At 43.3% G+C, this 24,159-nt stretch overlaps 1 protein-coding gene and 1 pseudogene across 2 annotated transcripts in view; both read left to right on the top strand.

Annotated features, from left to right (window-relative positions):
• APBB1IP (amyloid beta precursor protein binding family B member 1 interacting protein) overlaps positions 1-24,159 on the top strand; it is a 129,463-nt gene that overhangs the window by 65,846 nt on the left and 39,458 nt on the right. For both annotated transcript variants that reach the window (NM_019043.4, XM_011519514.3), the window contains exons 7-8: positions 7,561-7,720; positions 9,353-9,474. In NM_019043.4, coding sequence (NP_061916.3) covers positions 7,561-7,720; positions 9,353-9,474 — 282 coding nt within the window. The remainder of the gene's footprint in view (positions 1-7,560; positions 7,721-9,352; positions 9,475-24,159) is intronic.
• Positions 5,403-5,518, top strand: RNA5SP307 (RNA, 5S ribosomal pseudogene 307; annotated as a pseudogene).

The raw sequence follows: 24,159 nt of genomic DNA on the forward strand, positions 1-24,159 counted from the left end.
GATGTCCAAGTTATATCCCAGGGTACCAAATGCTGTTTTTGCTGGTGCTCTGGTTTCAAAATAGGTTTTGAGTAATCTGCCCTTAACCCAACTTTCCTAATAAGCCTGTAAGTTGATCATGCATTTTTTCAGAGTATAGGTTTTTGAAGAACACATGTATTGTATTGTAACAGCAGATACAGCTGTATTTAACTTCACTAGAAGAATATACCTAATGATAATAAAGTGTTAATAATAGTTAGGCTGGGCGCGGTGGCTCATGCCTGTAATCCCAACACTTTGGGAGGCTGAGGCGGGCGGATCACCTGAGGTCAGGAGTTTAAGACCAGCCTGGCCAACATGGTGAAACCCTGTCTATACTAAAAGTACAAAAATTAGCTGGACGCAGCGGTGTGCATCTGTAATCCCAGCTACTCAGCAGGCTGAGGCAGGATAATCATTTGAGCCCAGAAGGCGGAGGTTGCCGTGAGCCAAGATTGCACCACTGCATTCCAGCCTGGACTCCAGAGCGAGACTCCATCTCAAAAAAAAAAATTAAAAAAAAAAAGTTAATTTGGTAAATTAAGGCAAAGATGAAACAGTCTTCATCGTGTTTTGTTTTGAGACAGGGTCTTGTTCTATCACCCAGGCTGATCATGGCTCACTGCAGCCTTAAACTCCTGGGGTCAAGCAATCCTCCTCCCTCAGCCTTCTGAGTAGCTGGAACCACAGGCATGTACCACCATGCCGGCTGATTTATTTTTATTTTTTGTAGAGTTGAGGCCTCCCTATGTTGCCTAGGCTTTTCTCGGACTCCTAGGCTCAAGCGCGCCACCCATCTCAGCCTCACAAAGTGGTGGGATTACAGGTGTGAGCCACCATGCCTGGCTCTTCATCTGATTTCAACTCCTGAAGCAAATAACATCTCTGAGACTCATTGAGGATTTTCTGCTAAGAGTTGTGTGAATTGTCCTTTTCACATAGGGCTTTACGCTTTCTATTCCCATGGCACCTATCACAGTTCTCTGAATGAAGGTGTTCAATACCTGCCGATGGATGGATATTCAGGAAGTAGTCCTTGGCTACCCCTGGAGCCAGACTTTCAAGGTTCATCTAGGGGAGTCTTCCCAGATTAGTCTGGTTCCACTCATTCCAAACGTGCCCAAATTTCCTTACCATTCTTCTCCCCTGTTTTCTGCAAGTGATTAATTCCACAGTCCATCATTGGAACTCCACGTCCTCATCTGCCTTGTCCTTTTCTCAAACCTTGGTTAAATCCAACTTTCCTCCTGCTCAGTCCTGGGTGCCCAGTGAGCTACCCTGGTTCAATCACTCTCTCACCTACAAAACCATTTTACTTAAGAGACAAGGGTCTCACTATGTTGCCCAGGTTGGTCTCAAACTCCTGGCATCAAGCGATCCTCCCACCTGGGCCTCCCAAAGTGCTGGGATTACAAGCATGAGCCACCACACCTGGCCTCAGCTAATGATTTTGTTGCCCATTTTGCAAGGAAAATAGACACAGTCAAAACAAAAGTTGCGCAAGCTCCCACCAAGACATCTACCTATCTACCTGCGTGCATCTGTACCCATATATCCCATATTCTTTCCTTAACAATGGATAAATCATTATGTTTCTGCCGAGGGCCAGACTCTTCTCTTGGGCTGCAGTCTCTCTTTCTGTCCTCCTCTGCTCAAAAGTCTCCGATGTCTGACCATCTCACACGTGAAGCCAGAATGAATCCTCCCAGTGGCCTCCAGTCCCTGCATGACATGGCGACCAGTCACCTCCCTGGCCTCATCTCCCAGTGTTCACTCCTTCATTCACCCCATTCTAGCTGCCTGGTCTCCTGGCTGCCCCTTAAGCACTCTAGGCCTGCCCTTGCCTTGGGACCTTGGCACTTTGCAGGTCCTCTGCCTCTTCCCTGGATTCTGAGTAGGTTCGCTGTGCATCTCCTTTAAGTCTTTGGTCACCTTCCTAGCGAGGCCTTTCCTATCTAACACCACATGCACACATCCCCAGTATTCCCAATCCTTCCCCCACTTTAGTGTTCCCCTCAGTGCTTAACACTACCGTGTGTGTGTGGGGGGGGGGGGTGGGGGGCAAGGTCTTGCTCTGTCACCCAGGCTGGAGTGCAGTGGTACAATCACAGCTCACTGAAGCCTCAAATTCCTGGGCTCAAGTGATCCTCCCACCCAGCCTCCCAAGTAGCTGAGACTACAGGTATGCACCACCATGGCCCACTATTTTTTAAAATTATTTGTAGAGAAAGGATCTGGCTATGTTGCCCAGGCTGGTCTCAAACTCCTGGCCTCAAGCAATCCTCCCACTTCAGCCTGTCAAAGTTCTGGGATTACAGGCATGTAATAATAGTTAAAATAGTTAATTTGGTAAATTAAGGGAAAGAAGAAACAGGCATGTAATTCCAGCACTTTGGGAGGTTGAAGTGGGAGGATTGCTTCGCCTGGCCTACTTTACTTATTTGTCCTATGTATTGCCCGTATCCCCTCCCCACCACCCCACAGGATCTCCCCCAGGGATCTTTGTCTCTTTTCCCCACCAATGCATCCCCATCTCTTAGAATAGGTGTCAGGATCACACAGAGGTGAACAAGTCAAGTGTGGTCCCTGCTTGTGGAGAGTTAGAGTCTAGTTAGACTCTAGCTCTGAAGAAAATAAACCAGGAAGAAGTGATAGAGAGTACCCAGGCAACCCTACCAGCTGGAACTGGTGCTGAGGAGGCCTCTCTGAGCAGGCAGCCCTGAAGGGGAGGCCTCCGGCCAGAAGCAGCTGGATGCATGTGGGTGTGGTGCTGGGGGGCATTCCCGGCAGAGGGAACAGAGAGAGAAATATGCTCCAGCAAGAATCAGCTCGGGGAGGTGGGGAAAAAAGGAAGGAACTGAGGACAGAGAGGCAGCTGGGAGACACAGGGTCTCATAGGCCCAAGGAGAAGTTTGGGTTGTATTATAAGTGCAATGGGAAACCATTTGAGGGTTTTAAACAGGGGAGTGTAAGACGAATACACGGCTTTTAAAGGTCATAAAGGGCCAGGCACAGAGGCTCACACCTCTAATCTCAGCACTTTGGGAGGCCGAGGCAGGAGGATCGCCTGAGGTCAGGAGTTAAGACCAGCCTGGGCAACATAGCAAGACCCCATCTCCACAAAAATAAAAATTGTTTTTAGTTAGCTGGGCATGGCGGTTCACACATGTAGTCCCAGCTACAGGTGGCTGAGGCGGGAGGATCCCTTGACCCCGGGAATTCAAGGTTGCAGTGAGCTGTGATCATACCACTGCACTCCAGCCTGGGTGGCAGAGCAAGATCTTGTCTCTAAAATAAATAAATATGGGTCATACTGGCTACTTTGTAGAAAATGGATTGTAGGGGCAAGGTATGAGAGCAGGATTGTAGCACAAAATCTCACACATGGATAAACATGTAGAATTGATCACACATGGTTGGCAGCTGAGGATGAGCTGTGCTGAGTCATTGACTTTACCTCTCAAGATAAAAAGACAAAAGAAAATGGTAAAAGTAAACTTTCTAATTAGACTATTTCAAACCCCTGGATTATGTATAAAATATATTGTTTATGTATTTTCAGAAGGGGAAATGAAAAGAGAAGTAAGTTGTTTCTTAGATTAAAAGATAGAACAGCCAGCAGATTCCATTCATTCGCTTCAGCTGGAGACTAAGAGAACAGGAGGAGAGGGCAAGTATTTCCTGCCATATATCAGACAGTGAGAAAGTGTTGCCATGATTTAGTTTAGATGAATTATAATGGCACACACAAAGCACAAGCTGCCTTGATTCAACAAAGAAGATGGAAAACAGAAGCCGCTCTGATCAGTGAGGAAGAAAAGAAAATTACGAAGACAAGTTATGTATTTGCTCTGATTTCAGACACTCCGAATGTATTTGTTCTGTGGTGCAGAATATTAAGAAAATAACAGACACGCTCATGCATTAAAAGAATAACCGCAATGTACTCATGCATAATCTACAACATGTTTTTAAAGGATGGAAATCAAATCTATCTGTCATACTTTGCCCTCAAGTATTCTGTGGGCTGTTGACATCATTTTGAATTACAAATGATGTATACAGCTTGTGCTACAAAGATTTTGGAACTAGAAACAGAATCAGACTCATGCATTACTTTTATTGTTTTTTTAAAAATGCCCTGGGACACCAGAGAACAATTCCATTTATAAATTTTAGTATAGAAGCAAAAAAAAACAAAAAAAACCCCCCACAAAACTGTAAATGATTTAGGTCTCAGAAATTTTGTGTTTAGCATCTTGCAAAAAAAGAAGAAATTATAAAAAATTATAAAAGTTATAAAATCTTTAATAGATCATTTAAGTTTTTTCACCCTTGAATCACTTTGCCCCATAAATATGAAAGTATTTAGCTTGCTAAATCACATAACTGTGATTTAGCTTACTAAATCACATAACTGTGATTTAATGTTATGTGTTGGTATAGAGCTACTCTAGCTTGCAAACGTGAGGGAAGCTGTGAAGAATAGTAAATATAATTTCTTCTTGCTAAACATCACAAGGCTTCTCTTGGTTATATGTGTGTGTGTGTGTTTTCTAAATTCTATAATTGTGGACATTCATAAGTACGTGTAGATTAACTCTAGTTTCCAATTTCTGCAAAAAAACACCTTTAATCATTGCCAAATTATGTGGTTTAGTATTTTTTCTCTGTATGTATGTTTTTATAGAACATAAAAAACAGCAACATATGTTTTATTTTCTTAAGAATTCCTAAGCAGGATTGAGATGTAGTCAAACATCATTAATCTTTCCATCAGGAACATTAAATTTTCTAAGCCTTAACATTGGTAGTGTGTCTTAGCACATGTAGCTACTTTACAGCAGTAATTCTCAGCAGAGAGCAGCAAGTACACCTTCCACAGAAAATAAATCCTAGTAAAGACTGCTATTTGAAGAATTTCTCTATTTCCATACAACCCTCCATGACTCATTTCTAAGGTCAGATGAATGGATCTTTGACACCTACCATTTATAGTTGGGCCTACCATTTTATCATCAAAATACAAATACAGGGAAAAAGCAACTATCCAACTACAGATGTCTGGGCTAGAGATTTTCAAGGGGGAAAAAAAAGTGTTCTTTAGGAAACCCTGGGATAAGGCTCTGATTTAAATGGTCCCTGGAGGAAGAAAGCATTTTGACTGCCCCATGTCTACATTTTGATCTTGGGGGTGTTTGTGAATGTTGGAAATAGAAGGTATTACATGATTGCTTCAACTTGTGGTTGCTGCCTGCAACTCACCCAAATGGTTACCACCACACACACCCTTCCATTGCTATCAGTAACTCTGCAGAACCATCTACAGGAACTACACTCTTCAACCTGTTAACTATAGAGTGTTAGGAAAGAATAAAGCTACAGCCAGCCATACAACCCTGGTTGTACTCTATCTCATCCGATCTCAGAAGCTAGACAGGGTTAGGTCTGGTTAGTACTTGGATGGGAGGTAGGAATAGGACAGAACCTGGCTGCTCAGAACCTAATCCAAACTTGTGGAGAGAAAGAAATGTTACCAAATTTATGGTTTCTCTCTCCTTTTTCAGTCCATCTAATCACTTTTTTAATAACAATGAGTCTTATCGTTGAATAACCGGGACCAACCGTTAAGCTCATATGCTACAAATACACAGGTATCAAAGAAAATCCAAAGCCTAGCTGCATAACTTCAAGAATTAATTCTGTTACATTACATGAAAATCACGGTCTCTCTAACGAATAAGATCTTTTTTGTTGTTGTTGTTTTCTTTTCTTTTTTTGAGACAGAGTCTCGCTCCACCCCCCATGCTGGAGTGCAGTGCTGCAATCTCGGCTCACTGCAACCTCTGCCTCCCAGTTTCAAGCGATTCTCCTGCCTCAGCCTCCTGAGCAGCTGGGATTACAGGCACATGCCACCACGCCTGGCTAACTTCTGTATTTTTAGTAGAGACGGGGTTTCATCATGTTGGTCAGGCTGGCCTTGAATTCCTGACCTCATGATCTGTCCACCTCGGCCTCCCAAAGTGCTGGGATAACAGGCGTGAGCCACCATGCCCGGCTGAATCAGATGTTTTAATAACTTTGACAAGTTGCCTAGAAAAAGTCAAGGATATTGTGTTTTTACTGAAGATAAGTAAATGCAGCTTCCTCCAAACCTACAGATTTGGAATGAGATTACTACCAATTTTATTGTGAATTTAATTCAATAGAATATTTTGAAAATGGAATAAAAAGTAAATTAGGGGCTGGATACAGTGGCTCATGCCTGTAATCCCAGCACTTTAGGCCGGTGAGGCAGGAGAATTGCTTGAGGCCAGGAGTTTGAAACCAACATGGGCAACATAGTGAGACCTTGCCTCTACAAAAAAATGAACAAAAATTAGCTGGGTGTGGTGGTGCACACCTGTGGTCCCAACCACTCAGGAGGCTGAGGTGGGAGGATCAGTTGAGCCCAGGAGGTTCAGGCTACAGTAACCCAAGATGACACCACTGCACTCCAGCCTAGGCAACAGAGCAAGACCCTGTCTCACACACACACACACACACACACACACACACACACACACACAAATGAAAATTAGATTTATCATGTGCCTGCAAAACAGCTTATTTCTCAGTCTACATTCATTTCACTTAATCCAACTGTGATCTCAAATGTGCCCTGCTCTAACTATCTGTCTCTCAGTGGGGCCCCCTCAGTGATACCGTGTTAACATACGCTCTGTGGACCTTTAGAGAATTGTAGATTAACCAACTTGGTCTTATTTGGTGTCTTCAGACTCTTGGGTTGCATGAAATGGGACTCAACTCCAGCTAAGCAAAAGAGAAGAGTTTATTATAAAGAAACAGGTGGCCAGGTGTGGTGGCTCACACCTGTGATCCCCGCACTTTGAGAGGCCGAGGTGGGTGGATCACTTGAAGTCAGGAGTTCAAGACCAGCCTGGCTAACATGGTGAAACGCCATCTCCACTGGAAAAAGAAAAAAAATTAGCTGGGCATGGTAGCAGGCACCTGTAATCCCAACTACTAGGAAGGCTGAGACAAGAGAATCACTCAAACCCAGGAAGCAAAGGTTGCAGTGAGCTGAGATCACGCCACTGCACTCCAGCCTGGGCGACAGAGCAAGAATCCATCTCAAAATAATAATAATAATAAAGATACAGACATAGCTTTTAATCTAGAAAAGTTTCTGGGCTCCAGGATGGAATGAGAACAAGGGAAAGATTATTGGGAAAGAAAGAAGCTAACACTTTTTTTGTTCTGTTGTTTTCTGTCTCTCCCACCAGACTGCCTGTCTCTGAAGGCTAGACAAGGACTGTGTTTATTATCTATTTTCTATTTTTGTGAATTGGTTTCTCCACCTCTGTAATCCTAGCACCTAAAACAAGTGCTTGGCATGCAAGTTAGTTTAGATGGAGCAAGTTCACCAAACACATTCTTACAGAAATTTGCAGAAACAATAGCAACTTTGAAACCCTCATCTTAGTAGCCTTCTCCAGTTGCTGAAATTTACTGGCTGCCCCATGGTTCTATCCTCAGCTCGTCGTCAAGGTGCACATGAATGATAACAGCACAAAGTCACTGATGGTGGATGAGCGGCAGCTGGCCCGAGATGTTCTGGACAACCTTTTCGAGAAAACTCATTGTGACTGCAATGTAGACTGGTGTCTTTATGAAATCTACCCGGAACTACAAATTGGTAAGTCCCATCCCCAGCAATGGGCTGTACTCCAAAAACCTTGTGGGTTTGCTGTATAATGGGCTTGGGTTTATTCTTTTTTTCTCTTTAATTTTATATAAAAAATAGACACATGCTCTCACTATGCTGCCCAGGCTGATCTCAAAATCCTGTGCTCAAGCGATCCTCCCACCTGGGCCTCCCAAAGTGCTGTGATTACAGGTGTGAGCCACTGCGCCTGGCCTGGTTCATCCTTGAGAAGACTTTGGTTCAAGGCTTTCAATTCCCTTATATGAGATTTAGTGCTTGACTCTTCATTTCATTGTAGTGAAGAACTTGGATTCTAGCAGGTGGTGGCCAGACCTTGGGGGATATAAGCACTATTACTGCTGCTTCTCTAGTGGTTCCATAAGGGAAAGAGAGTGGCTGGATGATACTTACTAAGATGCTGCATGCTTAATAAGCTGAGCAGGTGGCAGGAGAGCCTGGGTATCTGTTGGCTAATGCCCCTTTAGTGGTTGCTTCCTTAACTGACCATAACCCTGCCATAGCCTCCCACAAGTGCTCATTTCCCCTTCCTCCCTCCCCACTGGCTTAGTCTCTGATGCTTTGTCTAGTGGAAGAGTTTCAGCCTCAGTGCAAAGAACAGTTGGTAGACACTGATGGAATTTTTCAAAAGTGGAAAAAAAGGTTAACTGAAGATATACTGTTACTTATTCTTGGTGGTGGTGGTGGTGTTGAGACAGGGTCTTGCTCTATCACCGAAGCTACAGTGCAATGGCGCAATCACGGGTCACTGCAGCCTCGAGCTCCTGGGCTCAAGCACTCCTCCTGCCTCTGCATCCCGAGTAGCTGGGACTATAGGCACACATCATCATATTTCTCATTTTTAATAATGGGACAGTCGTCTCTCAGGAGAGCTGGGTGGGACGGAGAATTGCCTGTGCTGGAAGCTTTGGGAGCAATTTTTTTTCTGGATAAGATGGTTTACACTAAAGCAGTCCCTTAAATTTCTCTTCAATTCTGTGAGTCAAGGGAAGAAATGAAAGCCTTTCTTTATGTTTTAATTCAAGCATTCACACATTGCTTTTAGAGTGTTAAGGAGTGATGTTTTAGAGTACACACTGGCTCTCACAATTTCATTCAAAGTGTTTCACCAGTCATTGACTGATTGTCCACCTCACGTAGAATGTTTGCCACCATCTGGGACTATTTAAAGTAAAAAATGTCGATATGAAAAAAGTATGTCTCTGGGTACACTGGCATATGCCTGTAGGCTGAGCTACTTGGGAGGGTGAGGCAGGAGGATTGCTTGAGCCTTGAGCCTGTGAATAGCCACTGCACTCCAGCCTGGACAACACAGTAAGACCCCATCTCTTAAACAAAATGAAAGAAAAAAAGAAATAAGTGTGACAGCTGACCATTGTCACTGTGTTATGGGTTTTTTCATCTTGTTTATAATGGAAGATAACTTGAAGACAATGAAAGAGAAACATAATAGAAATGTTACAGTGTGGCATCATGTGAGAATTATTAATAAGAATCCCAGGCACCTGATGAAAGTCATGAAGCATTAACTCAATAATAGCTTGTTTCTCACTTGGAAACCCTGATGTCTTGGGTCTGAAAGAATACCTTTTCTTATTTCATCAGAGAGGTTTTTTGAAGACCATGAAAATGTTGTTGAAGTCTTATCAGACTGGACAAGAGACACAGAAAATAAAATACTATTTTTGGAGAAAGAGGAGAAATATGCTGTATTTAAAAACCCCCAGGTAAGATGATCTGCATATTGTTAAACCCTATAAAGTACAAAGGATTTTTTTTTTTTTTGAGACGGAGTCTCAAAGGCTGGAGACAGGGTCTGAAAGGCTGGAGACGGAGTCTCGAAGGCTGGAGTGCAGTGGCGTGATCTTGGCTCACTACAACCTCCGCCTCCTGGGTTCAAGCAATTCTCTTGCCTCAGCCTCCCAAGTAGCTGGGACTACAGGCATGGGCCACCAGGCCCAGCTAACTGTTTTGTATTTTTTAGTAGAGACAGGGTTTCACCATGTTGGCCAGGATGGTCTTGATCTCCTGACCTCGTGATCTGCCCACCTCAGGCTCCCAAAGTGCTAGGATTACAGACGTGAGCCACTGCGCCCAGCCAAGGATTTTTTTTAATGTCACCTGTATACTAACCACACCATTCATTGTCTCACAAAATATCACAAATATATTATTTTCAAATAAACACAAACTCAACTCTTAAGCTATATGTACGCTAACAGTCCTTTGAAGGATTCAGAAAGAAAAGAATCCATTTTGCTTTTTTTCATTCCAAATCCAAAACCTATCTCTCTGTGGTTTTCTCATCCTCTTCTGTCCCTGTTTCTGTGTGGCTGTATTAATCCAATATATCTTCATGCACTCACTGTTGGTTCTTCCTGCTTCTTGCTTGAAAGATGCTCTTTTCTTTGTTGTTTGTATTTGGTGCTTATATTTGCTAGGAAAACTAAAAGGACTACCTAGAAAATGTGCAATTTATTGTGATTTTGTTGCAAACAATTTGTGCAAGTAAAAAGCATAAATTTATATTTGTTCTTCTTTTCATACTTGTTCATATTGGTTCTTCATGTTTGGAAATGCTTCCTTCAAGTCATGTGTACAAGCATGTCCAGGATTTTTCCCAACTGTGGCCTCAAGCAACTATAATTGTGTGAGGGTCATTACTTTCTTTTTGAAAATCAAAGAATGTTAAAGGTGAAGAAGTTCCTCTCCATTTTCCAGACACCTTTCCCTTTTACAGGTTAAAAAAAAAAAAGTGTCATATCACTAGAGGGAGAATTAGGGCAGCTTCCTTGCGGGAAAATTTCTCCTATAAATGCTATTTTCTGGGTTTTCCCTAGGTTGTATGGTGGCTGACTGACAACACAACAATTAAATAGTATTAAAAGTACAAAGTTTTTCGCCCCTAACTACCTTCAATGCCATGCTTTTTTCTTTTTCTTTTCTTTTTTTTTTGTTAGACAAAGTCTTCTTCTGTTGCCAGGCTGGAGTGCAGTGGTGCAATCTCGGCTCACTGAAACCTCTGCCTCCCGGGTTCAGGTGATTCCCCTGCCTCAGCCTCCCAAGTAGCTGGGACTACAGGCGCATGACACCACCCCCGGCTAATTTTTTTTTTTTTTTTTGTATTTTAGTAGAGATGGGGTTTCACCGTGTTGGCCAGGGTGATCTTGATCTCCTGACCTCGTGATCCGCCCGCCTTGGCCTCCCAAAGTGCTGGGATTCCAGGTGTGAGCCACTGCACCCAGCCCAATGGCATGCTTTAACAACTGCGTTAGTGAGGGTACCATCTAAATTGCTGTAGCAAAGAGACTCTTAAATCAGTGGTTCAAACAAGCTACAAGCTTATTTCTCTCTCACGCACTGGTCCAGCCACAGGTAGCTAGACCTAGTAGAATGGCTCTGCCATTTTCGATATGTGGTTTCCATCTTTGGTTCCATGTTAGCTTTTCCGCCTCACCATTTTCCAGTCCATATGAAGTGAGGGAAGAGCCGGGGAAATGCACATTCAGATTTATGCTTCCATCCCATTGGCCAGAAATTAGTTACATAATGACACTGAGCTACAAGGAAAGCTGACAAATGTAGTGTCTATCTGAACAACCATATGCACAGCTAAAACTAGGGAGTTACATTCAGGGCCACCACTTTGCATAACTCCTCCATGAGGCACCTTTCCCCTTGAATCTATAAAAATAATGCCCAAGAGTCATGCAACATGGCTATGCTATTGTATAACTAAGAGAAGGAATAGCTATTGTATAACTAAGATTAGCCATGGTGGGAGAGCCGGAGATTACCTCCATACCCCTTTAGGCTGGATCAGATATTACCTCCATACCCCTTTAGGCTGGATCAGAGATTACCTCCATATCCCATTAGGCTGGATCAGAGATTACCTCCATACCTGTTTAGGCTGGATTAGGGATTACCTCCATATCCCTTTAGGCTGGATCTAGAAACCAAGTTGACACCAGGGAGATTAACAAGAGGAAAGTATGCACATTTTTATCAGTTTTACATCTACATGGGGATCTTCACAAGAGTCAAGTCTAAAGAAGTGGCCGAGGCAAGATGCTTCTATACTTTTTAAACAAATAATAAATTTGAAAAAAAAATGACAGAACAAAGGGAATCTGGCTAGGGGCAGTAAAGTTTCTAGGGGAGTGTAAACCGGAAAGTCTCTGTGACAGGTCTCAATCAGCTTAGAAGTTTCTTTTGCCAAGGCTTAAGGACATGCCCAGAAGAAAACAAACAAACAAACAAACAGAATCACAGAAACAGTCTGTGGTCTGTGCCCTTCTCCAAAGATGAATTTGAGGGCTTCAATATTTAAAGGGGATGCCAGGCACGGTGGCTCCCGCCTGTAATCCAGCACTTTGGGAGGCTGAGGCAGGCGGATCACTTGAGGTCAGGAGTTTGACCAACATAGAGAAACCCCATCTCTACTAAAAATTTAAAACTTAGCCAGGCATGGTGGTGGGCTCCTGTAATCTCAGCTACTTGGGAGGCTGAGGAAGGGAGAATTGCTTGGACCCAGGAGGCAGAGGATGCAGTAAGCCGAGATAGCACCACTGCACTTCAACCTGGGTGACAGAGCAAGACTCCATCTCAAAAAAAAAAAAAAAAAAGTAAAGCGGAAAAGTCAAGGAGGGGAAAGAGGGAGGGGTGTGGTAACGCACACATTGCAAGAGAAAAGGAGCAGGTAGGGGAAGAGTGAATGGCTGTATTCCTCTCGCACTCAGTAAGTTGGAACTTCACAGAAGATAAGATGAACATAGAGTTGCTCCCTGTGGAGATATTTAACCTTTTATTTGTAGCTGTCTGTTTAGGAACAAAAGGGAAGGCAACGTCTTGCATGACTCAGCTTTCAGCTTACTTTATTCCTTTTGGCAGCGTGAACTGGGGTCCCGCGTTTTTATTTTCCTTTCACTAGAGGGCATCACCAGAAGATATATGGGGGGAGATAAGGGTTACTTTACCTATAGTGGAAGATAAGGGTTCCTTTGTTGAGTATATTTATTCAGCTCCTTTGCAGCCCCGTTCCCAGTCTCTGGTGATAAGGGCTATTTTCTCGCCCCGAAATGCTGAGGGTTCCCCTCCCAGAGGAATCTTGATGGCTTGCTGCCTGCAGGAAGAGGAGGTCAGCTCACCCTTTCTGGAACCGCAGTTTCTCCAATGTTTTCAACTAGAAGTAATCAGTGCACCAATCTAGCATTTTTGGGGATGGCATGTCTTTCAGTCCTTCAGTGGGCATCTGCAGTTTGCCATGGTAACTAATGAACTAGTGCACATATCATAATGGTACACTCTGAATTTTTACAAAGTGAACCAACCCATGTAATTACCACCCACATGAAGATAACAGAGCATTCAGGGAGTTGCAGCGGCCTTCCTCCTGGCCCTTCCCAGTCCTTACTACCCATTACAAAGGTCGTCATGATTCTAGCCTCTATCTCCTTAGCATTTCCTCTTTTTGAACTTTATATATGAAATGGAATTATATCACAGTACTTCTTTCTTTTTGAGACAGGGTCTCGCTCTGTTGCCCAGCCAGATCTTGCAGTGGCACGATCTTGGCTCACTGCAACCTCCACCTTGCAGGCTGAAGTAAGCCTCCCGCCTCAGCCACCAGAGTAGCCGGAAACACAGGCACAGGCCATCACACCCGGCCAAGTTTTGTTTTTGTTTTTTTGAGAGACAGGCTCTCACCATGTTGCCCGGGTTGGTTTTGTTTAGCTTTGCTTTGGCTCAACTCTCATTCATGCTATTGCCCATAGCACTAGCTTATTCTTTTTCACTGTTAGAATTCCATTGTGTGACTATACCAAAACCTATTTATCCATTGTCTTGCTGATGGATATTTGACTTGTTTCTAGCGTGGGGCTTTAACAAGTAATGCTGTTGGGAGCATTCTTATACAGTACATGTCTTTTGTTGGACATGTGTAGACATTTCTCTTGCATATATACCTATAGGTGCAATTGCTGGACCACAGGTTGTGCATATGCTTAGTTTTATTTTTTATTTTATTTCATTTTTGGGATTGAGTCTTGCTCTGTCACCCAGGCTGGAATACAGTGGTGCAATCTAGGCTCACTGCAACTTCTGCCTCCTGGGTTCAAACGATTCTCCTGTCTCAGCCTCCTGCACAGCTGGGATCACAGGCAACCACCACCATGCCTGGCTAATTTTTGTATTTTTAGTACAGGCAGGGTTTCACCATGTTGGCCAGACTGGTCTTGAGCTCCACCTCATGTGATCTGCCTGCCTCAGCCTCCCAAAGTTCTGGGATTACAGGCATGAGCCACCGCGCCCAGCCTATTTTTTTTTTTTTTTTAAAGAGTCCTTCTGTCACCCAGGCTGGAATGCAGTGACACAATCTCAGCTCACTGCAACCTCCACCTCCCTGGCTCAAGTGATTCTCGTGCCTCAGCCTCCCGAGTAGCTGGGACTACAGGCACTCACCACCACACCTGGCTAGTTTTGGTATTTTTAGTAGAGACGGGGTTTCACCATGTTGGCCAGGCTGGTAATATGTTTAGTTATAGTAGATACTGCCAAGCAGCTTTCACACAGATTCTATGACTTAGCCTCCCATTAACATTGTATGAGAATTCCTGTTGTTCCAGATCCTTGATAGCCTTTGGTGTTACCATTAGTTTTTAAATTTTATCCATTCTAGGGGTTTGTAGTGGCATCTTCTGTGGTTTTAAGTTGAATTTTCCTGATGCCAGTGATTGTAGCATCTTGTCAAATGTTTATTATCCATTTGAATACCCACTTTTGTGAAGTGCCTGCTCAAATCCTTTGCCATGATTCCCAGTCTCTCACCCTAGACTAAGCATCAACAAATGCCCTGAGGGGAAGTGTGGCTTTCTGGAGACCTGAACACCACTTTATGGTTCATTTCTGTCTTAGATCTTGACCTCTTGCGTCCTAATTGCTTCAATAGCTCTCTAATGCCTTCACACAGATTTTTTATTAAATCCAGCATTTCTAGCGGTTTTGTGTACAGCAAGCTACTTGTATTGGGCCATTCTCACACTGCTATAAAGAAATACCTGAGACTAGGTAATTTATAAAGAAAAGAGGTTTATTTGGGAGGCTGAGGCGGGTGGATCACCTAAGATCAGGAGTTCGAGACCAGCCCGGCCAACGTGATGAAACCCTGTCTCTACTAAAAATACAAAAATTAGCCAGACATGGTGGGGGTGGGGTGGGGTGGGGGGCATCTGTAATCTCAGCTACTAGGGAGTCTGAGGCAGGAGAATCACTTGAACCCAGGAGACAGAGGTTGTAGTGAGCCAAGATCGTGCCACTGCACTCCAGCCTGGGCAACAAGAGCAAAACTCCATCTCAAAAAGAAAAAAAGAAAAGAGGTTTAATGGGCTCATGGTTCTGCAAGCTGTACAGGAAGCATGGTGGCATCTGCTTCTGGGGAGGCCTCAGGAAACTTTCAATCATGGCAGAGGGTAAAGGGGAAGGAGAGTGAGCACCTTACATGGCTGGGGCAGGAGGAAGAGAGAGAAGGGGCATGCAACATGCTTTTAAACACCCAGATCTCCTAAGAACTCTATCATGAGACAGCACTAAAGACATGGTGCTAAACTGTTAGAAATTGCCTCCCACCAGGCCCGACTTCCAACACTGGGGATTACAATTAGAGATGAAATTTGGGCCAGGCCATGAATCCAAACCATTACTACTGTAACATAGCGGGAAGCAGAAATTCTCCTCATGAATTATTTTGCACAAGAATATGTTCTTAAAAGCCAACTTTTATACATTCTCCTAATCTACAATCCAATTTAAAGACCAAAATTGAAGTGGAGGCAATTTTGAAGTGGCCAATTTTAAGTAAATGTATTTCCATTTTCTCAGTGTTTGAATCTATCTTCTGGCCAGTGCTCTGCATACATAGTGGCTTCTGCCTGCTGACCTTAGAGTGAGAGAAGCAGGCTGTGACCATTCTCATTGATGTCATGGCTCCTAAAAGGGAGGCTTTGTAATTTGAAATACCTAAAGTCTTCTTGTCTAAGCCCTGTGCTAATACCCTTTGATTGTTTAAAGCTGGGCACAGTGGCTCGTGCCTGTAATTCCAGATGCTTAATTAGGAAGGAATTCCAAAAGGACTTTGAGAGGACAAGGCAAGGGAATTGCTTGAGCACAAGATGTCAAGACCAGCCTGGGCAACATGGTTGTTATAAAAGTGAGCTCAGCTTGCTCTTGCTGCCTTTTTCATGCCTGCTTACTTGCTTTCTGCTTTTCCACCATGTTATGACACAGTATGAAAGCCCTCCTCAGAAGCTTCCACCATGTCCTTGGACTTTCCAACCTCCAGAACCATGAACCAAATAGACTTATTTTCCTTATAAATTACCCACTGTCTGGTATTCTGCTATAGCAACAGAAAAAAGACTAAGACAGATTAATACTTATTTGCAGCTTAATTAAGAAAGAGCTTACCTGGCCCAGAATATCAGTTTTTCTGGAAAATTATCAAACTGTAAAAAACTCTTTAAAATTTCATTCTTAAAGTACCAATACTGAAGTCTTCAATACTTAACAGACGTCTTTTACAAATTATTTGTCTTGGGGGATAGTGCCTGGGAGAGGCAAGAAAGTGAATGCAGAGGGAGGCTTTGAGCTCCATTTTCAGAAGCAATAATAAGTAAGAATTCAGAGACATTAGTGATATGCTTGTGCAGGCATAATTGCTAGGCATCCATTTCCACTGGTGACTGGAAATGTGGCTTCACACACCTAGGTTTCAAATGTCACCTGCTGTGTGATCTTGGTGTGCTCTTTGACAACACTTAAATTCACTTCTCAGTTTGTAAAATGGTTGATGCTGCTGTACTTCCTACCTCACAAAATCAAATCCAGCGTGAAAACCACTTGCCACATTGTGAAGTTATGCATAAAAGTAAAGTGGTTTGATCTCAACTGAAATTCAGCAATCATCTACAGTAAAGTTCTGTATAATAGATTATCTATAATAAATGAATATAGAGAAACTAAACTCTGCAAATTTGTGAACAGAAAGATGCTTAATTAGGAAGGAATTCCAAAAGGATAACTTGTCTACATTTGGGGAGGCAATAGGAGATCACCCCATTTTAAATGAGAGAAAACAGAGTAACTCTTAATGGATTCTTCTGATGGCTGCTGTTATGCACTGTTCCATTTGAAAGTAACTTATCAGCTTTTTGGAACAGTCTGTGTTTTAGCTTCACTCCCAAGAGGTGGGAGCCAAGTATGAGTCTAACTATTGAGATTTGGTGAGGGTGCAAGACCATCATTGGTTCTCCAGAGCCACTGCTGAAATCTGAGTGCACAGACACTGTTAGCTCCTGCCATCAACTCTCAGTGGTGATCCTTGGGTATAAGAACAGATATTGCTCTAATTAGAATTTTTTCAGATTACTGAAAGGACCCAGAGGCATCTCATTGGAATGAAAGATAGGAAGTACAGTCAGGCCTCCCAGGGACTGGTGCAGGGGTTGGAGCGTTGCTGGGATCATGATGGCAAGCATCTTGGTCCCAGCCCTCCCTTGGGTCTCCATCTCTCTTTGTCACTCTCTGTCCCTGTGCACAGCTGTGTCATTCTTCTTCCCTTTGGTGGACTTCCTTCCTCAGCTTACTTATCTGTTCCCACATAGCCCCTATAGCCAACCTCAGACGATGGCTCCTCTATAAATGGATCTCAAACTCTGTGCTTGCGTAACCCTAGAAGAAGTTTGAAAAACCATGTGCCACCTCACACATTTGTTTGTTGACATCCAAATTTTTTCATCACAAGTTTATTTATTAAGTATTATTATTATTATTTTTTGAGATGGAGTCTTGCTTTGTCACCCAGGCTAGAGTGTAGTGGCATGATTACGACTCACTGCAACCTCTGCCTCCCAGGTTCAAGCGATTCTCCTGCCTCAGTCTCCTGAGTAGCTGGGATTACAGGCATGCGCCACCATGCCCAGCTAATTTTTGTATTTTTAGTAGAAATGGGGTTTCACCATGTTGGCCAGACTGGTCTTGAACTCCTGACCTCATGTAATCTGCCCACCTCGGCCTCCCAAAGTGCTGATATTACAGGCATGAGCCACTGCACCCAGCCTACAAGTTTAAATAGATACGAAGAATGCCATGTCCAACATATTTTGAATGTTGACAGTTTAAAAAAACTATTCAACGGAATCTAAATACAGTTCCATGACAATTTGATTCCCACCATCATCTTTTTAAGAAGCACATGAATAAGTTTTTATTTTTTTTATAGACTTTCTTTTCAGAACAGTTAGATTCACAGTCAAATTGGACAGAAATAGAAAGAGTGCCTATATATCCCGTGCCTTCACACACACACAGCTTCCCCCACTATCAACACCCTCCACCAGCATGGCACATTTGTCACAGTTGATGAATCTACATTGACACGTTATTATCACCCAAAGTCCATAATTGACATTAATCTTCACTTTTGGTGATGTACAGTAAGCTTTTTTCAACATTTGGGACATTTTATATTGTTCCTTTTTTTTCCCTTTGAACTGTTCTCATTTCATTTTCTCCACAAAGATTTATCCTATTGTAATATATTGATATGCTGAAAAGTCTTTTATTATTCTCTGTCCCATACTCCTCTTCAACTAATTATGTTTACAAATTGATGGGTGAGCTTTTCTTTTCTGTCACCATAGGACACTTAAGGGTTAAAAAATCACAGTTGACCAAAACAACATGGAAACCTTTTTTTATTATAAATGTTGATATTAATTAAATATAAAAAGCAAAAATGGGAGGCCAGGCACAGTGGCTCACACCTGTAATCCCAGTACTTTGGATCACCTGAGGTCAGGAGTTCAAGACTAGCCTGGCCAACATGATGAAACCTTGTCTCTACTAATAATACAAAAAAAAATTAGCTGGGCATGGTGGCACACACCTGTAATCCCAGCTACTCGGGAGGCTGAGGCAGGAGAATCGCTTGAACCCGGGAGGTGGAGGTTGCAGTGAGCCAACATCGTGCCATTGCACTCCAGCCTGGGTGACAAGAGTGAAATGAAACTCCATCTCCAAAAAAAAAAAAAAAAAAAAAACCAAGAAAAAAACAATGGGGAGGGGACATCTCTTAATGTTAGAAATAGATTAGGTGGAGCCATTTTCCCCCTGGTTAATTCCAGGATCAAAGGATGAATTTCCGTATCAATTACATTCCAGTTTTTCATTTTTACAGATGTTGAGTACTTTCTATATTGAGAAACCTTGTTCACATAAATAAGTAGATGGGAACAGAAGAATGCCATTCAATTCTTTGAACTCCTTCCAAGGTACTAGCCAAAAGCCACAGGAGGATCAATGATGGTTCTTTTCATCCATTAGCTGACCAGATAATTAGGTACCTTCTATTATGTTGAAAGCAAAGAATTAGAATCCACATGACTTCCAAAAGGATTTGTGATGAGTCTTCTTCTTTCTCTGCACTGGTGTTTCAAGTTGTCCTTTTGTTTAGGGCCTTTGAGCCTTACCCTGGGGCAGTAAGATTCTGTGTGGGTGCAGGTGAGATTTTCCTTTCTAACATGCAAAAAGGCAACTGTGAAAGGGGCCGTCCATTCTCAGGCAGGTCCACTTTAGAAAATGGTACACTTCAAGACTGAGGATGTGACAATTTGCACAGCATGCTCTTGGAGGGGCTTCATGTAATTATAGGACATGGAGGGGCGGGGGGACACAGTTGAAAGACCCTTGGCCAAGGCCAGCCACAGTGGCTCACATCTGCAGTCTCAGCATTTTGGGAGGCCAAGGTGGGAGGATCACTTGAGGCTAGGAGTTCAACACCAGCCTGGAAACACAGGAGACCTCATTTCTTTAAAAAAAAATAAAATATAAATAAATTTCTTAAAAAAAGAAAGACCCTGGCCTTGAATGGTGGCTCACTATGAGTGGCTCAGGCTTCCCCATGGTTAACTGTCCTCTGCTTTACAAAGCCATTGTGCCTATTATGAAATAATAATTTATGTCATCATTTCTCATCTTCAACAGTCAATAGGCCCTAGGTGGATGCCAGCACTCAGAACACAGTGCCCCTAAACTATGGCACCGTGGCATGCTGAGTACTTTAAACCGAAGGAGATTAGAAGGACCTTCTAAGAAGCCAGACGATCTCTGTGACCTTCTCCCACCCTCCTTTCTCCTTCCCGCATTTATCCCCTGAAGCAGATTATAGAAACTCAACTTCTTCTCCCCAAAGCAAGCCACGAAACCTAGAAAGATCACTCTCTGACCTCCTCCCTTTGCCCCTGGAAGGTCCTCCTGTGGCAAGCGTCCTGCCCCATACCCGGGGGGTAAAGAGTGTCACACAGAGACACAGAAACAAATCAAAATAAACAGGCCTTGCTGAGCTCCCCCAGTTTATTGCCATTAGATCATGTTTCTCCGTAATTACCCACTTCTTTCATCAGATTGATGATGAAAAAAAAACAACAACAAATTATGACAAAATATTTAAAGAGGGTTATTCTGAGCCAATACGAGTGATTGAGCTCAAATTACACAGTCTCAGGAGGTCCTGAAAAAGTATGCCCCTGGCAGTTGGCTTGCAGTTTGGTTTTATATATTTCAGGGAGACAGGAATTGCAGGTAAAATCATAAATCAATATGTGGAAGGTATGCATTGGTTCCCAAAAAGGCAGGGCATCTCAAAGCAGAGACTTACATGTCATAGGTGGATTTTAGGGATTCTTGAGTTAGCAATTGGTTGAAAGAACTGAGCTTTATCTAAAGACTTGAAGTCAACAGAAAGGAATGCCTAAGTGAAGATAAGGAGGTCTGCTGTCTCTTATGTGATACTATAACAGAATCAGGTTGGAAAGTAAGCTACACTCTACAGGGTTAATTAAAAACCTGTCTCACGAGATTTTGTGGTTTATAGGTTATGACTCCCCTGGCCCTTAGGAAGGAATTTGGGCAAGATTGCATATAATCTATGCATTTCTTTCTTTTTCTTTCTCTTTCTTTCTTTCTTTTTTTTTTTTTTTTTTTATAAAAAAAGGAATCCTGGCAAGAGAAAAAAAAGTCAGGCACAGTGGCTCACACCTGTAATCCCAGCACTTTAGGAGGTAGGAGGATCACTTGAGCCCAGGAGTTTGAGACCAGACTGGGCAACATGTGAGACCTCATCTCTATAAAAAAATTAAAAATTAGCTGGGCGGGGTGACACATCCCTGTAGTCCCAGCCACTCAAGATGCTAAGGTGGGAGGATCACTTGAGCCTAGAAGGTCGAGGCTGCAGTGGGCCGTGATCATGCCATTGCACTCCAGCCTGGGTGACAGAGTGAGATCTGTCTAAAAAAGAAAAAAAGAAAGCTCAGAGTTCAGTCTTCTACTTAGCATAAAAATACATAATTTGCTTCTTTGGGTCTTGATTTCTGAAGGCTCCAATGTCACGTAAAACTTTGGTTAGATGAATTTGTGTTGCTTTTCTCTTGTTACTCTCTCTCTTGTTCTAGGGGTATCAGCCATGACCTCTGCAATGGGTGAGGAAAAGGTAAGACTTTTTCTCCCCTACAGAGACTCTCTTGCACAGGGGATGTGGTCTCTTTTGGGAAAGTGGGCCGGGGCAGTAGAACAGTATTATCCTCATAAAGGCAGCTTTAGTTTAGAAGCCTACTGTACAAAAATCAGTGACATTGCCTGTGTAGGGGAGAAAGAGCTGTTTTCTAACCCATTGCTAGGTTTATGGCTGAGGTCGCTATTGCAAAAGACAGATTACCAACAACAAAAAAAGCACAGAAATTTATTTAATGTAAGTAACACAGGAGCTTTCAGAAATGAAGATCTGAAGAAACAGGAAGAAGTGGGTATTTTTGTGGACAGTCGTGCAGAAGTGTGATTGCAGGACAAAACTGTATGATCTAATGGAAATAAACTGAGGGAAACTTGGCAAGGCCTGTTCCAATTCTTCTCTGGGTCCCTGTGTCTTCAGAGACAGGGACATTCCTTTCCTCTGGGTATAGGGTGGGCGCCTGTCTCACAAGGATCCTGTGACTTACTTTAGAGAAAGGTCAGAGGATTCTTTTAAGACCTGCTTCAGAGAAGGACAGGAAAAGGTGAGAGGGACCTTCCTGCTTCTGCTGTTTTCTCAAATGACAAGGTGCCATAGTTTGGGATAGCGTGTCCTAAACCCTGTCACCTGAAACCAAAATAGAGATCTGAGAATTGAGGACTGAGTATGAACATGGAAAATCATTCTGGTATTAACGTAAGCCATTCTTATTGCTAGAAGCCCTAAGAATCTCTTTTTCAGAAAAGGAATTGGTAAAGTCAGTTCATGTAAGGCACAACCTTACATAAGGTAAAGTCAGTTCACGTAAGGCGCAAACTTACATGAGGTAAAGTAAGTTCATGTAAGATTGTGCCTCAAGTAATTTCCTCAGATAAGTTCCTTACTGTGCTACTTTTTATTTATTCTAATAACTTTCTTTTGCTAACTTAAAAATAATATCTGGCCAGGCATGGTGGCTCACGCCTGTAATCCCAGCACTTTGGGAGGCCGAGGCAGGCAGATCACGAAGTCAGGAGATCAAGACCATCCTGGCCAACATGGTGAAACCCTGTCTCTACTAAAAATACAAAAACAAGTCGTGCATGGCGGCGTGTGCCTGTAGTCCCAGCTACTCGGGAGGCTGAGGCAGGAGAATCGCTTGAACCCGGGAGGCGGAAGTTGCGGTGAGCCGAGACCACACCATTGCACTCCAGCCTGGGCAACAGAGTGAGACTCTGTCTCAAAATAATAATAATAATAATAATATCAATTTATCATAAAAGGAAAAGTTGGAAAATTCAGAAAAATATAAGGAAGGAAATCTAAATCACCCATAATCTCACTCTTTAACAATAATCACTATTGATATTTTAGGCAACTTTTATTCCACAGATTATTCTGTTTCTTAACTGAAATTTGATGATGATTATACTCTACTGGTGGCTGCATGAGTGAGGAGCAGAGACAGAAACACAACTTCTTTGCCCAGGTGTAGAAGTGTCTCAGCCACAGCCTGGCAGCTATTGTGGGAGAAAAGTATTAATACCTTGTGGCATCATTCTTCCATTCCCTTCCAGCCTCCCTCAGCCCACCAAGGGCAGTCTCTGACCATCCAGGACCAGGTGTGGTTAGAAGGAAAGTTATACAGTAATCACCTTTATGGTCCCCAGCATGGGCTAATGTGTTAAAGGAAGGTCTACCCATGACTTCGGTGCCCTGGATCCTCTCACCAGCCAGTGTGGGCGTGTGTGATTAGTCAGTGTATTGATGCATGAAAGGCAACCTTAGAGGCCAGGCATGGTGGCTCACACCTGTAATCCCAACACTTTGGGAGGCAGAGCAGGAGGATCACTTGAAATCTGGAATTCAAGACCAGCCTGGAAAACATAGTGAGATCCCAGTTTCTGCAAAAATCAAACAATTAGCTGGGTGTGATGGCATGCACTTGTGGTCCCAGCTACTCAAGAGGCTGAGGTGGGAGGATCATTTGAGCTCAGGAGTTCAAGGCTGCAGTGAGCTATGATCCACTGCACTCCAGCCTGGGCAACAGAGCAATACCTTGTCTCAAAAAAAAAAAAAAAAGAAAAAAATACTATCTCAGAATCCCACTGGTTTGCAGAAACAGACATTTCCTCTCTCCAGGGTCTGCAGGCTCCCTGTCCTTAGCTCCAGAGTATGACTTAGACTTAGATTTAGGTAGGTCCATGTCTTTTTTTTTTTTTTTTTTTTTTTTGAGATGGAGTTTTGCTCCTGTGGCCCAGGCTGGAGTGCAATGGCACGATCTCGGCTCACTGCAACCTCTGCCTCCCGGGTTCAAGCGATTCTGCTGCCTCAGCCTCCCAAGTAGCTGAGATTACAGGCATGTGCCACCAGGCCCGGCTAATTTTGTATATTTAGTAGAGATGGGGTTTCACCATCTTGGCCAGGCTGGTCTCGAACTCCTGACCTCAGGTGATCCAACAGCCTTGGCCTCTCAAAATGCTGGGATTACAAACATGAGCCGCTGCGCCTGGCCCCACGCCTCTCTTATTGTCCCTGGATAGCACAGAACTCTGACATATTCTTCCCACGGTCAATGGGAAGAGTACAGGCAAATGACAGAAACACACTCTGCACCTCAAGCTCTCTGCTTAGAATCCATGCATCGTCCCATCTGCCACATTCTTTTGGTCAAAGCAAGTCACATGGCCAAACCCAACGTAAGTGAAGCAAGGAAATAAGCTTCACCCATTCTGGGGGAAGTTACTGCCCAGTCACCTGACAGCGAGCAGAGAACTGGGAGCGATGGTCTGATCTTCACTCAGTGAACTGCATTAACCCCATAGCTCTAGCCTGACTGGCTGCTCACTAGTGCTCCAAAGACACCTCT

Source organism: Homo sapiens, chromosome 10 (genome assembly GCF_000001405.40).
Source record: "Homo sapiens chromosome 10, GRCh38.p14 Primary Assembly".
Lineage (NCBI taxonomy): Eukaryota > Metazoa > Chordata > Mammalia > Primates > Hominidae > Homo > Homo sapiens.